This window comes from Homo sapiens, chromosome 8 (assembly GCF_000001405.40).
Source record: "Homo sapiens chromosome 8, GRCh38.p14 Primary Assembly".
Taxonomy (NCBI): Eukaryota; Metazoa; Chordata; class Mammalia; order Primates; family Hominidae; genus Homo; species Homo sapiens.
In genome coordinates this window covers 91,312,791-91,327,664 of record NC_000008.11, presented here as the reverse complement: position 1 = coordinate 91,327,664, position 14,874 = coordinate 91,312,791, and the positions used below count along the sequence as shown (strand labels likewise).

The following is a 14,874-nucleotide window of genomic DNA, read 5'->3' as shown; positions in this document are numbered from 1 at the left end:
ACAATTCTTAATTCCCAATAAATTATTTTGAGTCAGTCATCAACCACAAAACCATAACTATCTCCAGAAACAATGGTAACATCCATATATGCCAGCTACCACATGTGCAAACTTTGGTTTGAAAGTGCATTTGGCATAATCAGCATATAGATAGGTGTCTAAAAATATGGACTGTTTTCTATGTCTCAAAGAGTATATATTAAAATAAGACAACAGTAGCACCACCGAATAAACTATTTTACTCATTGTATCTACTGTAAAGTCCTATGTTGAATAAAATTTATTAATAATCTATTCATTTAGATGGTACTTCTATCAGAAGCCTCATCTCACAACACAGAGCGCTCAGTGGTAGTCACGGCCCTGAAATAGCTTTGAAATTATATTAATTATATTTACTGATTGCATCACATGGATAACTTCAGTCACATTCTAATTTTAAAACCAACAAACAAACAAAAAACAAGCAAAAACATAAAACCTCCTCACCATACATGGTTGGGTTACTGCAGTGAGTGAATTGTAGTCCCCTATCTCCCCTCCCCACCAAAAAAAAGTCTACATTCTAAACTCCAGTGCCTGTGACTGTCACCTTATATGGAAAAATAAGGTCTTTGCAGATGTAATTAAGTAAAGGATCGACCACAAGATGAGATCACCTAAAATTACCTGGGTGGGCCCTAAATCCCATGATCAGTATCCTTGTAAGAGACAGGAGAGAAGAACAAACAGCAGGGAAGGCCATGTGAAGACAGAGGCAGAAGTTGGCGTGATGCAGCCACAAGCCAAGGAATGCCAGGAGCCAGAAGAAGCTGAAAAGGCAAGGATGGTTTCTCCCCTAGAACCTGCAGAGGGAGCATGGACCAGAAGAGACCTTGATTTTGAAGTGTCTTCCAGAAATGTGGGAATAAATTTGTTTTGTTAAACCACCAGATTTGTGGTAACAAGTTACAGTAGCCATTAAGACGCCAGCACCAAATCTAATGCTGCTCACTTCTGAGACAACTCAAAGAAAGTATTATGGGCTGACTTGTGTTCCTTCAATATTCATATGTTCAAATCCTAACCCCCAGTACTTCAGAATGTGACTGTATTTGGAAACAGGGTCTCTAAAGAAGTAATTAAGTTAAAAGGAAGCCATTAGGGTGGGCCCTAATCCAATATGATTGGCGTCCTCCTAAGAATCAGGACACAGAGACACAGGGGCTGTGCATGCACAGGGGTTCCACCATGTGAGGAAGCAGCAAGAGGGAGGCCGTTTGCAAGCCAAGCGGGGAGGCCTCAAAAGAAACCAGTCCTGTCAGCACATGGATTGTGAATCTCCAGCCTCCAGAACTGGGAGAAATTAAATTTATGTTGTTTAAGCCACCTCGTCTGTGATAGTTTATTGTGGCAGCCCTAGGAAGCTAATAGAGAGGGCAGAGGGGATTCCAAGCTTTTGTTCTTAGAATCACAGATAGACCCTAGCAAATTCCCCTCTTTTCATGTTAGCTGAGATAGAAGTATTCTAAAACACAAAAAGAAACAAAACAGAACATTTTCAATAATAATTACCAAGTGATCAGTACCATTAAGAGAGATGGCCAACTGAATGACCATCTACCAAAGATCAATCAGGCATAGTTGATATCTGCAGTGAGGATTACAACTAAAATGCCTATCAAAGGAAATGTTCAGAAGACACTTGTCAGCATCAGAAAAAAACCTCAGAAATCAACCAGTTCCACACACTTATTCTGTAGAAATAGAAACCAAGGCTCCAGAGACTTGTGTCCTGCCCCAGGTGACTTGGCTTGTGAATGAGAAAATCAGGATTTTGACACAGGTCCCCTCAACCCTAGACAAACACGTGCACATTTTACCAATGACTATCTCATGATTTTTTCAGTCCAGCAAAGAATTTTTCCAAATCTCCCTGCTGCTTCCTTTTCCCTTGGGTTATGGAGGGAAGATGCTACCTCTTTGAAGAGGAGACTATTACAGAGCATGAAGTCTTAGATTTGGGGTTTTAGTGGTGGTATTCAATGGCACCTGGCTGCTTCTCAGGCATACGAGCTCTTCTCACCCTCCAGTCTTATGCCTTCAACATCAGCAGCAGAGTCACATTAGTACAAGGGAAGCAATACGCCTTTCAACTTGATTCTGAAAGCTGTTAATACACAGATTATGGCCTTTTCTTAACATAAGCATATTTGGTGAAAGCCTACCTGTATCTATACAGTGCCTTCACCCTCCGTTCCTGAAGGGAGAGGAATTTTCATATTTTCCCTATCATAGGCAGATGGGGGTGGTGCAGGGGGTACTCAGGAAGAAAGAATGGGGAAACTGTTTAAACTTAGTCACTTCCTAGAAGAGTAGGGGAATTAACACTTTCAGGCTCTATGCTGGCCATCTTATACACAGTGATTCATTTAATGTCTTAATTAATTCAAGGTGAGCATTATTATTTCCATTTAACACATGAGGAAAATAAGACTTGGAGAGGTTAGCTAAATTGCTTAAGACCACACAGAAATTGAACAATGGAGCTGGCATGTAGTTCTTGGTCTTGTCTCACTATTAAACCTATATTCTGCCAGCTACACATATAAAACAAGAGTAGGGTCTGGTCTTGTAGCCAAACCTCAGGAGTTAATGAAATAGAATCACAAAATTTCTGAAATTCCACTGGAAAGAATCTTAGAAGCAAACCCATTCTGTCTTTCCAACATGCCAACCTTATATCTACCTTAGGGAATTAGCATTTGCTGCTCTTTCTTCATAGAATACTCTTAACTGAAATCATTCTATGGCTGGGTCTCTCTCATCTTTCTAGCCTCCATTCAAAAGCCATGTCCTCAGAAAAGGTTTCCCAGGCCATCTTATCTAAGCAGACCCACCCCTGTCACTTGACCACGTTACCCACCTTCAATCACACCGCCTTGTTTCCTTCATTAACACTATCTGAGATTACTTCATTTGCCAATTTGTTTGTCTCCTCTCTCCATACTTTGCGTCCCTCCTCAGTGTTTCAATAAAATTCCACGGGAACAAAAATGTTATTGTTCAACTGTATCCTCAATGCCTGTGAGGTGGTCAATTTGTTGAGTAAATCTGTTCTAGTGGTTCTTTAATCAAGGATGCATGTTTATCTCTTCCTACTCATGTGTAGCTTGTAAAATCCCCCCAGATTATTCTGATTATTCTGTTGGACAATTAAGGCAGCTTTCACATCCTTGGAACCTTTAAACATGAGTCATGATTGCCCAGGCATGCCCTCTCCCCACCCCAACTTGCTTTCAAGCTCATTGCATTTGAATCCTACCTCCAAGCAGATCTAAATTCCTGCTCAGGGACACCTAAAGCCAACTCTGATCCTTTAGAACCTGATGTTAGCACAAGTTCTCTCTATTCATAAGAATTTGATGTCTCTTGTCAACTTTGCCTATATCATTATACATCATTAAACATTTTAGAATATGTATTGATAAGATCAAGCCCCTCAAATCCCACCTCCCTCTACAGTAGTGAACATAAATACAAAAACAAGAAAAATATAAGCTGAGTGCAGTGGCTCATGCCTGTAATCCCAGCACTTTGGGAGGCCAAGGTGGGCAGATCACATGACGACAGGAGTTCAAGACCAGCCTGGCTGATAAGGCAAGACACCAGCTCTACTAAAAATACAAAAATTACCCAGGCGTGGTTATGCACATCTGCAATCCAAACTACTCCAGAGGCTGAGGCACGAGAATTGCTTGAACCATTGAACCCGGGAGGTGGAGGTTGCAGTGAGCCGAGATGGCACCACTGCACTCCAGCCTCAGTGGCAGAGTGAGACTATGTCTCAAAAAAAAAAAAAAAAAAGATAAGAAAAAAGAGAAAGGGAAAGATTAAGTTGGATATTAACCACAGGCTGTATTTTTATCAGTACAAACAAAATCCCAAAAGAAAGAGGGAAAACCAACATTCTGGTAGTTTTTTACATCATTATACCCCAATTTCTAATCAATAACTATATGATACAGTTGGAATAAATCCATTTGCTATTACTTCAAGGGATAAAATAAGTCTCAGAACAAATGTGGTCTAAGGGAAGTATGGTATGTTAAATAGCTAAAGACATCATGAGTATACAAAAGTCACTTGGACCAAACATACAACCAAGCATTCCAAGGTCCAGGTGGCATCCAGCCATCTCTTGTTTGGTAAATTAGTTTAATTTGAATTACTTGAGCACTGGATTTTGTGTTGATGCATTTTTCAGTGAATTGTGAGGGATGGAGAGAGTTTGGCCTACGATGGTTGAGTTGCAAAAATATTTGCTCTCTGATTTAGAATCCTAAAGTAACATTGGCTACAAATTTACATATAGTTGTTTCATATCCAAATTAAACCTGCCACATCTTCTATCCCCTGCATCACTGATTGAATCAAGTTACAGATGAACATTCTTTTTCTCTCCCCTTTAATTTATTCTGTCCATTTTTCAGGGTATACTGAACATTCCCACAATTCACAATAGAGATGTCACAATATCTGCAGAGAAACTGTGAGCTTTCATAAACCATCAAAGCATGTTCTTGATTCAGAAATCCCACAGAGCCTAGGTCTACAAAGTAGATTTGTTCTCCACGTATAAACCCCACTTATACATATTTAATTGTGATCTCATTCCCTATAAAAGAAAATGTTTCATTGGTTCTGACTTCCTTCTGACATTTCTATCCCATTTTATTAACATTCTTGGTTCCCCTTTGCAGTCTTTGCAGTCCAAACTAGAAAAGTACTTTGCTTGTACTTCAGGGGTGGGGGGTGAGAATTAAACTGCTTTCCAGTTCTGAAACTACCCATTTTTAGGGCAGAAAATAAAAACTTCCAAGAAGGATGGCTGAATATATTGCCAAGCTCGCCTTTTGCTCTTGGGTTTAATATATATAACTGTACATAATTATTTAGAGCAGTGCTCATATAAAGCCATGCCAATGAAAGTATCCTTGCCAAATTTATCATAGGCTGCTGCAGGCTGAGACACTGGCACCATCTCAAAGAAACCCACATGTGCTAATACGAACTAGGAATTTTTGTAATTTTTATTGTGCCTTTTGGGGGAAAACATCCTTTCTGATAAAAAGATACTTCATCATTCCTCAATTTAAAAATTTTTTTTGTAAATAAGAATTAAACTTTTTCTTCTTATCTGTGTGAGGAACCAACTTACTGGTCAAATATTTGAATTTAAAGGAAGCCAAGAATAGAACAATTTAACTTCTGAGCCAGGATCCCAAGACACAAGTGACCCTTATAACATTATTGTTTCTTCTTATTTTAAAATATATTGCAACACTGTTTATAATTTATTAAATGGGTTTATAACTGCTGAGGGAGATTTGAGTTGAACTGTTGAAAACCTTTATAAATAAAAATAAACTAAAAAACATAGCTTTTTTAATTTTAATGATCAACCCCCATTAACAGAAGATATATTTGTTTCTAAAGGTTTTATAAATTTTCAAGCCATTCTAAAGTCATTAAAATACACATAAGTTTGTTTTGTTATTTAGTCTTTTTTAAAATCTGATTAAGAGTCCTCTATAGAGGAAAAGCATTAGTATCTATTACTTAAATGACACTTAAAAAATGCATAATTTTTTACATTGAACTATTCACTACTAGTAAGAAAGACAATGGCTTCCACTTAATGAACACCTATGTTCCATGCTTTTCATTTTGGAAATGAATTCCAAGAAGTATAATTATCATCAGTGCACAAAACAGACAAGACAACTGGAAATCAAAGACACTCGGTCATTAGCTCAAGTTATGGTAACTAACAAGAGCTAAAAGTTACCTCAGAGAAAAAATAATAATTTTTTCCCAATATATACCTGAAAAAGAACACATTGATGTAATCTTTAAAGTTTACAAAGAACTAGCCATAATACTAAAAGAAAGATAGTTTAATCAGAAGTATATGAATCTAGAGATAAAACTCTTAAGAACAAATTTAAAAAGTAAAGAGTTATCTGTGAAGGAATTTAGGAAGGCTAAATAAAAGGATAAGTTAGGCCTAATTATACCCACTCTTCTTAGGGATATAGTAGGGTCATGACAGTTATTCTGGAGGCTCCCTTTGAATATGTGGACCCTAGAAATTCTCGAAGGGCATTCAAAGTTCTAGGGGAAAGCCTTAGTAATGTTTCACACTCGGGAAGAACTCCTCCCCTGAGGAAACTCTTTAACAACTTTCAGCTAGAAGAGAAAGAGCGGCCCAACCACCTGAGCTTCGCTGGAGTCGGGGCGTGTTTTCCTCATGCCAGAAGTAGAAAAGGGGAAGGCATTATGCCATGTCTATCCCTCAAGCCTATGAGAAGTCTGTTATCTATCATCTAAGAGGGCAGAACTGAGCACAAACCCCTACATGTATCTGATTCAAATTGCTCCCTAAAAATATTTCATTGTGGCAAGAACACCTGCCACCCCAGAGCAACCAAAGAGATGGAAATATTAGCTGTTCATACTCATCCAACTCAACTAGGGAATGAGATTCTCTGAATAGCACAGAATCAGACATCCCCTGTGAGGAAGGCACTGTAGAAACCACACAGTGGCAGAATAAATAGACCCCAGTCTACAGAACTCAACCTAAGAATAATTAATTAATCAATGGACATTTTGATTGGCTAAAACTGGACTCTTTTGACAAAAATGAGTAGCCCACCTGGGACTATTAGGAATCATGACTGGCTCATTGTGCAAGAGTCTTAAATATTCTAGATATCCAATTTATGTTCCAAGAATATCAGTAACATGGGCTTTATCTCTCATCAGCCTGAATTACTTTCTGAAAGGATATAACAATTGTGAAAACTCAGAGGCAGGATACATGTCAAAGAGTGAAAAGTCTTACAAATGTGTCAATTCATTCTGCTGTAGGTTCTTTGACATGCTAGCCAAGGCCTGTATGATGTCTTCTGCTCTACATCCTTGCTGAGTTCAGCTCTGCTTCTTTATGTAACACTTAAATGATCCAGTGGCAAGTGTAGCCATCATGAGATTCTCTCAGCCTAAGTACCCCAAAGCACACTTCCCAATATCCCACTGCAACCTGTGCATGATGTAAGATTTATTTCTTAATCTAACACTCAGATCACCAGAATTTTTGGCATTGCAATATCAACATCCATTTGAAACCATGGCAAAGAACCAAAGCACCATTCCCACCTAACAGCCTCACAGTACAGGACTCTGTGATAATTGAAAAGCAAGAGCAACTCTTTTTTTCCATTTTCCATCAACACAAAGCATAGCAATTTCCATCAACTGAGTAATGTGAATTTAAAGCCAGCAGTCCAAAAACATTCCCAAATCTGATTCCGTTTCACCGTAAAGTTTTTAAGAAAGACCTCCACCTGGCCAATATGGTGAAACCCCGTCTCTACTAAAAATACAAAAATTAGCTGGGCACAGTGGCACGCACTGGTAGTCCCAGCTACTCAGGGGGCTGAGGCAGGAGAATTGCTTGAACCCAGGAGGCGGAGGTTGCAGTGAGCCAAGATCATGCCACTGTACTCCAGCCTGGTGACAAGTGAGACTCGTCCCAAGAAAAAAAAGAAACACCTCCAAAAAGTCCCACAGTGTTGATCTACAAGACTAGGGTAAAGTAGCTTGCAGTTTCCCTCAAAAATACAAAATGAAAAACAAAATCACACACAAAACCTTTAACCGAAGTGTTTAATAGAAGTTTATACACATTCCCACCAGAGAAACAAGCTGAAAGACCAATGTCATTCTCACAGCAGGCTACCCTGCTTCTTTAACACAACTAGAAAAAAGAAAGATGATCGTTTGTGTATGCAGATATGATTCAAGAGGCCAAGTGGTAATGGACAGTCATTTCCTTAAACTGCACATGTGCCGACAAGCAGGCCAGGCCATTTCCAGGTGAGAGGTCAAGACAGAAACTATCACTGCTTTGGTTCTGTCGTGTAGACCTGCTGTCACTGAAAGTCTTAAACTTTCAACCAGTCACCTGACAGCTTACAGCTACTTTGGTCTGCTTTTGTTTGAGCTGGAGCTTGGAATTATGTTGCTTCCAGGCCCAGTTCCAGTGTTCTTGTTTCAGTGTTAATCATTCTTACAATGAATGAATCATTGAGCAGGAAATTATCTAAGAAATACGAATTCAGATCCAGCTTCCAGCTCTGTGTTGCTAATTGCTTTTTATTAACTTCTTTACCAACTAATCAGAGAAACACACTTAGACAAGTGATACCATTTTTTTCACATATCAAATGGTCACTTAAAAAATAGCCATAACCAGAGTTGACAGTGATAAGGTCAGAGTAAAATATTAATGGATACATCTTTTCAGATTGAAATTTATACCCCTTTGATCTAATAATTCTATCATAGGAACTTATCCTACTGAAACAATCAATGTTTGTTTGGTGCAGAGAATAATATGCAAATAAAGAGGATCCTCACGGGGCCATGTATAATACAGAAATGACAGAAACCACCTCAATAACAGATAGATAAATTACCATACTCCATTCATTGAGTTACTTCGAGCCATTAATATTTAAGAAAATTAAGAATGGCAATACTCTCATTATGAAACAAAAAATTAATGTTATTTAGTATACAGCAATGCATAAAGTTAAACAAAACAAAGTTTGGTTGTCAGCAAATTCATTAACAAGGCTTTTTAAAAAATAAACCTCTAATAGGATCTGAGTTCTTGAGCGGTTATAGATTTTAGGTCCACTTCGAAAACAAACCCAAGAACAAAAAAGTGTTGTTAGAAAAATATGTTGCAAATGGCCAGGTGCTACTCTCTTTCTTGGGTTCAGGTGGTTTTTAATAGCTGATTGTCTGCTACTGAGGCTTCAGCCACCAATTTCAACCAGGCCTCTGATTTAATCCACCCCAGGATTTGTAATACTGAAAGAATGTGGGGGAGTGCACTATTGTTAAACTTGGCCATAATCCCAGTGGATGACTTCCATTAGAAGCTGGCAACAATACCTGGCTCACAAAAAATTCAGGTTTTTTTTTTCTAATTATGCCCCCAAATTAGCTCATATTCCATTGTTCATTACAAGGAATCATTTCCAAAATTAGTAGAAATTACTCACTAAATTAGTTGCATACCTTAAGTCACACTCAAAATATCCTATAAGATTTTATTTAAACCCAAGTTGCTTTAATACAGAAAAATCTCAGTACTATAATTAATCAAATTCTACTTTGTGAAACCTGCACATTCAAAAGATATGTATGAAAGCATACGAAAAACTCACATAAAAGAATCCAAGTGGTCCGGATATATATGGCATTTTCATTCCCAAGAGATATTTGACTTGTGAAGTCACCACATGGGTGGCAGCCCCAGTTGTCATTGCGCTGATCACAGGCTCTGTGACCACAAATGTGGCACTGCCCAGTTGCAGCACAAACATGGCCACCTAAGAGGAGAAGGGAGAAGTGAGATGAACTTCAGATGAAACTCCCCAAAGTTCCCAGAGGGCTTAATATTTGACACATTCTCATTTTCATTTGATAGAATCATAGAGAACTGACATGTAACAAGTTTGTTACATTGTATATATACAATATCTTGGGTTTCCCTGAGCACATTGTTAGGTTCTAAGAGGTTTCAAAGGTTTCTTTTTTTTTTAATTTAATTTTATTTTATTTTTTTTGTTTATTTTTATTTTTATTTTATATATATATATATATATCTTATTATAGTTTAAGTTCTAGAAAACGTTATTAGGTACAATGTGAGTATCTCAGTTAAAATTAACACAGTATTTTTTCTAAATTTAGACTTTTCTCTTTTCCTAATCCTACATGTTTCAAAAAAGGGAAATACACTCAAATCAGTTTAATGTATGGGTCTATGTGGAAGAAAAATTGAATTTGCCTTGCTATATCTGTAATTTAAAATTTTAAAAAGGAAAAGACATGATTCACTACTTTATACCCAGTAGGCATAAAACCTCAAAACCGTTGAAGAAAGAAAGCCATTCCTCAAGATTCTCCCAGATTCTGAGAAATGGGAACATACTCTTTGACCAGATACTTGGTCAAGAAGTAACCCATTTATGCCAGAGGTTGTAAATTTATTTTGTGAAAAATCATACCTTGGCGATGACCTTGAGCAGTAGGATATAAATAATTCCCACAAGCTTAGCATTCCAATAGTGGAACACTAGGCATAATTATTAAGGGCTAATATTTAATAAGAATACATTAGGACTTATTTGTATATGTGGCACCGCAAAAGACAGATAGGGTAGAGACATATGTGTTGAGAAGCCCACAAATCAGTACAAAAATCATTGTCCTTCAACATTCCTTACTTTTCATAGCAACATCCTCCATCTCAAAACCATTTCATGACCAGGCAGAATCATCATCTCTATGTAGAAGCTGTGCATTGAACTCTGCTGGGCAAAAGGTGACAGGAATGACAGGAAGCAGCAAAACTCTTCTCTTTTTTCCTTTTTCTTTTTTTTTAGATAAGGTCTCACTCTGTCTCCCAGGCTGGAGTACAGTGCCATGACCATGTCTCACTGCAACCTCCACCCCCCAGGCTCAAGTGATCCTCCCATTTTAGCCTCCTGAATAGCTGTGACTACAGACAAATGCCTGGCTTTTTTTTTTTTTTTTTTTTTTTTTTTTTTTTTAGAGACAGGGTCTCACTGTGTTGCCCAAGCTAGTTTCAAAATCTTGGGCTCAAACAATCCTCCTGCTCTGGTCTCCCAAAGTGCTGAGATTACAGATGAGAGCCACCATACCTGGCCTCTTCTAACTCCTGATACTTCAATGACTAATGTTCTTCCTTTACCAGAGAGCTTTGAGAAGATGGCCCACACTTTGGCATAATGCATCTGTGTAAACTCAGTCACAGAAACTGCAAAAAGTAAAATTTACTATTTTGAAAGTAATGTTAAATTACATTCACAAGTATAAGCACTAGAAAATGGAAACAAAAGAGGTCATGCTGATATAACTTCTTAATGTGTTCATTATAATATTTACACCAAGTCTTAAAATTCTTGTTGGCAAGCCCAGCACAGTGGCTCATTTCTGTAATCCCAGCACTTTGGGAGGTCGAGGCAGGAGGATCACTTGAGCCCAGAAATTTGAGAGAAGCCTGGGCAACATGTGAAACCATGTCTCCTAAAAAAAAAAAAAAAAAAAAAAAAAAAAAAAAAAAAAAATTAGTGTTGAGTGTGGCAGCGAGTTCCTGTAGTCCCAGGTACTCAGAAGGCTGAGGTGGAAGGATGGCCTGAGCCCAGGAGGCAGAGGTTGCAGTAAGCTGTGGTCACGCTACTGCAGGCCAGCCTGGGCAACAGAGTGAGACCCTGTCTCAAAAAAATAATAAAAATAAGAAACTATTGTTGGCAAATGAGATTAACTCTTAAAGAAATCGGAGGGAAGGATAACAACGAGATCTCCTTTATCAAGAGGGCACAGTGATGAAAATGAGAAATATAAAGTGATATCTGGTACCACTAGAGCATAAATCGCAAAATATATTATTTCTTTATTCTGATCATAATACAATAACCCCTTGGCCAAAAGCAATAATGCTCTGAGCCTGAATTACAGTGGATTTTCATGGGCTCAAATCTGAAAATTTGAACCTATATTCTGACCCAGGTTCTACCACATCCTAGGTTTGTGATGATAGAAAACCTACTGAAATTCTCCAAGCCTCATTATCATCTATAAATTATTAGAGTGATATTTGCCTTATTTTGTAGAGTTGTGTAAGGTGAGTGTGAAATAATACATGCAAGGTATTCGAAACCTGTAAAATGTTTAACCTATGATGTAGCAGGAACAACAGGGGGTGTCACACATATTTACCTAGTATGGAAAACCAGTCACCAGTTTCGAAAATGTAGGAAGGGCCACACTACATTTTCTAACTCTGTAAAACTTAAAAGAATGTAATGAAGAAGGAAATGTATTTAAATTGTTTGCAGTTTAGCAGCCACCTTTTATTTAATACATAATAAAGAAAAGAATATGGGGGGCCAATGTGGAAATCAGGCAATCTGTTACAGTAAACTCAGGACGCCAAAGCAGCAGCTTCTGCTACTAACATTTTTTTAGCGACTGTATTTGTCAAAGAGAGACGTTCTGGGGGAAATACCCAAGCAATCAATTGTGTGGGCACAAGTGGAACATGGTGTTTTTTTTTTTTTTTGGCAGCTCTTGATTCGTGGTCAGTTGGTTTTCATCCTGAAAACACAATCAGCTATGAAAAACATTGAACCAATTATTCCCATGTATTTCTCTATTAGTAAGTTAGTTCCAACTTATGACATTAACTCTTACAGGCCATGAGGATGAAATTAGCATATTACTGAGGTATGATGAAAACCAGAGTTGAATTTTCATTTCAGCTAAATGTAGAATACAAGTAATCCAAATCTTTGAAGTGGCAAAACCAGTGTGCATACATGGAATTTATGCATACTTGGAATGTTGGAAAGTTTGCATCAGTATGCCAAGTAATCTTGAGGCCTTGTATAGACCATCATCATTTTACCTTCTGTTTTCCACTTGTTTCCTAAATTCCAGTGCCTACTGAGAGGGTTAAATGATTTGCCCTGCCTGGGAAAAAAAGGTTACCTAACCTTAAGTGTCACCTACCATACCACTTCAAGCTAAACCACCATCTTCTAGTAGCAGCTTCTTTGTCATTTCCACAATTTAACAGTTACAAACAAAAGAGTCCAGAAGAAGTTCAAGATATAAAAAGAATTCAACCATTTCAAGTATTAAAAAACATGGGAACCTACCTTGCAACACAAATGAGAAAAGATGAATTATCCTCTCTTAAAATGTCTAAAGACTCAAAATATTATTGTAACATTCTACTTGTATACATTATTATACTTTTAAAAAAATCCTCCTACCAAAAGATAAATCTTTAACATGGAGAGTTCTTGACTCTGAAAGGTCAAGTTCCTTAAAGACCTAATTTCTGATACAAACCACTGGGCATATGAAGGATGATTAAAAACATATGAGGTTTAACTGAGGAGAAATTTCTGTCTTCTGAATGACAAACTTCTTCAAGACCCAAGACAATGGCAGACATGTTAAGAGGGAAGAGGAAGAAGAGAAGTAGGAAAGGAAGGGGAACTAGTGGAGGATGGGGAGGAGAGATTTAAGAACTCCCTCTTTCCCACCACTCAAATTTTAATAGCTAATTCACACTGACATTAGGAATCTGGCATACAGATGCTGGTGTACACAGCTCAAAGGTAGCAAGTACACAAGCAACACAGGCTTTGCAAGAGGGGCCCACAGATTGAACCATGTTTATCTTCAAACTGAAGTAGGTGAAATGGGGCTCTCCTGGAATATTGTGCTTGGAGACCCAGTATTTAAATTTGATATCAATGTCAAGGATTTTTAAAGCTAATTACTTAATAAACAGCCACATCATCTCCTTTTACCAATAATACGGATGATAACATTTCTAATCTAGCTAGCCAACTCCCAAAATCCTGGCCATGCCATATTTCATGAGGAAATTAATTTCATACAATATAGTTCAGCTGTTTGTAGTAATGCTGATGTTCTGGGCTAATACTGAAATCCTCTGACATACATGATCAAGATTCACTAGCATGATACTATTTGATAATGCTTCTATAAACACCATATGTTCCACATTAATTGAATGTATCTCAGATTTCAGTCCATTTTTCTTGCAAGTAGCTTTCAAATATTTAAAAATAACAAAGAGTACATAGGAAACAATTATATTAGCCAAGCGGATAGAATATAGAATGTATTTTAGGTTATGTTGGTTAGTCTGCTATCTGGCTTTTACATTATACCAAATCACTTATTGTTCCATTCAATTAATATTTATTGAATATCTACTAAGAGTTAGGCACAGCACTGTTGCAGATTACACAGCTAAAGATACAGTTCACACCCTAAATGATCGTGTAAAGAGATGTGAAATGATGATGTTGGGAAAGGGGACTGTTAACCAGGACCATGAAGAAGAATGATATAGGTGACTGGATGGTAAAGTCTGAAAAGCTGTTTGGGTGGGGCCTGAAATGTTAAAGAGCCCTGTGTTGTATGCTGAGTAATGTATTCAGGTTTGGGGGAAAGAGTTAAATTGCTAATAACATTAGGAAAACAATTTAGTGCTGTTCAGAGATATGGGAGAAAAAAACCTCTATGTGACCAGAGGTCTTGAGAAGAACAAAGCTGAAGGATTCATACTTCCTGATTTCAAAACTTATTAAAAAGCTATAGTAATCAAAGCAGTGTGGTACTGGCATAAAAAGATATATAGACCAATAGATAAAATAGCCCAGAAATGAACCCATACATACATGGTCACATGATTTTTGACAAGTGTACAAGACCATTCAATGAAGGAAAGGACAGTCTTTTCAACAAATGGTGCAGGGAAAATTGTATATCCACAAGCAAATGAATGAAGTTGGACCCTTACCTAACACCATATACAAAAATTAATCAAAATGGTTCAAAGATCTAAATATGAGACCTGAAACTATAAAACTCTTAGAAGAAAACATGGAGCAAAAGCATCATAACATCAGATTAGGCAGTGCTATTTTTAATATGACATGAAAAGCATGGGCACCAAAAACTAAACAAATTGGGCTTCGTGAAAACTTTAAAAATCTGTGCATCTAAAGACTCTATCAACAGAATAAAACAGAAACCCACAAAATGGGAGAAAACATTTGCAAATCATATATCTGATAAGTGTTAATATCCAGAATATATAGAGAACTCCTAAAACTCAACAAAAACAAATATCTGATTCAAAAACGGGCAAAGGATGTGTATAGACATCTCTCCAAAGAAGGT

The 14,874-nt window shown here is 37.4% G+C and overlaps 1 protein-coding gene across 4 annotated transcripts in view; it reads right to left on the bottom strand.

The window, feature by feature from the left end:
• Positions 1-14,874, bottom strand: part of SLC26A7 (solute carrier family 26 member 7) — a 188,660-nt gene that overhangs the window by 70,491 nt on the left and 103,295 nt on the right. For all 4 annotated transcript variants that reach the window (NM_001282356.2, NM_001282357.2, NM_052832.4 and 1 more), the window contains one exon: positions 9,285-9,449. In NM_001282356.2, the coding sequence (NP_001269285.1) occupies positions 9,285-9,449 (165 nt within the window). The remainder of the gene's footprint in view (positions 1-9,284; positions 9,450-14,874) is intronic.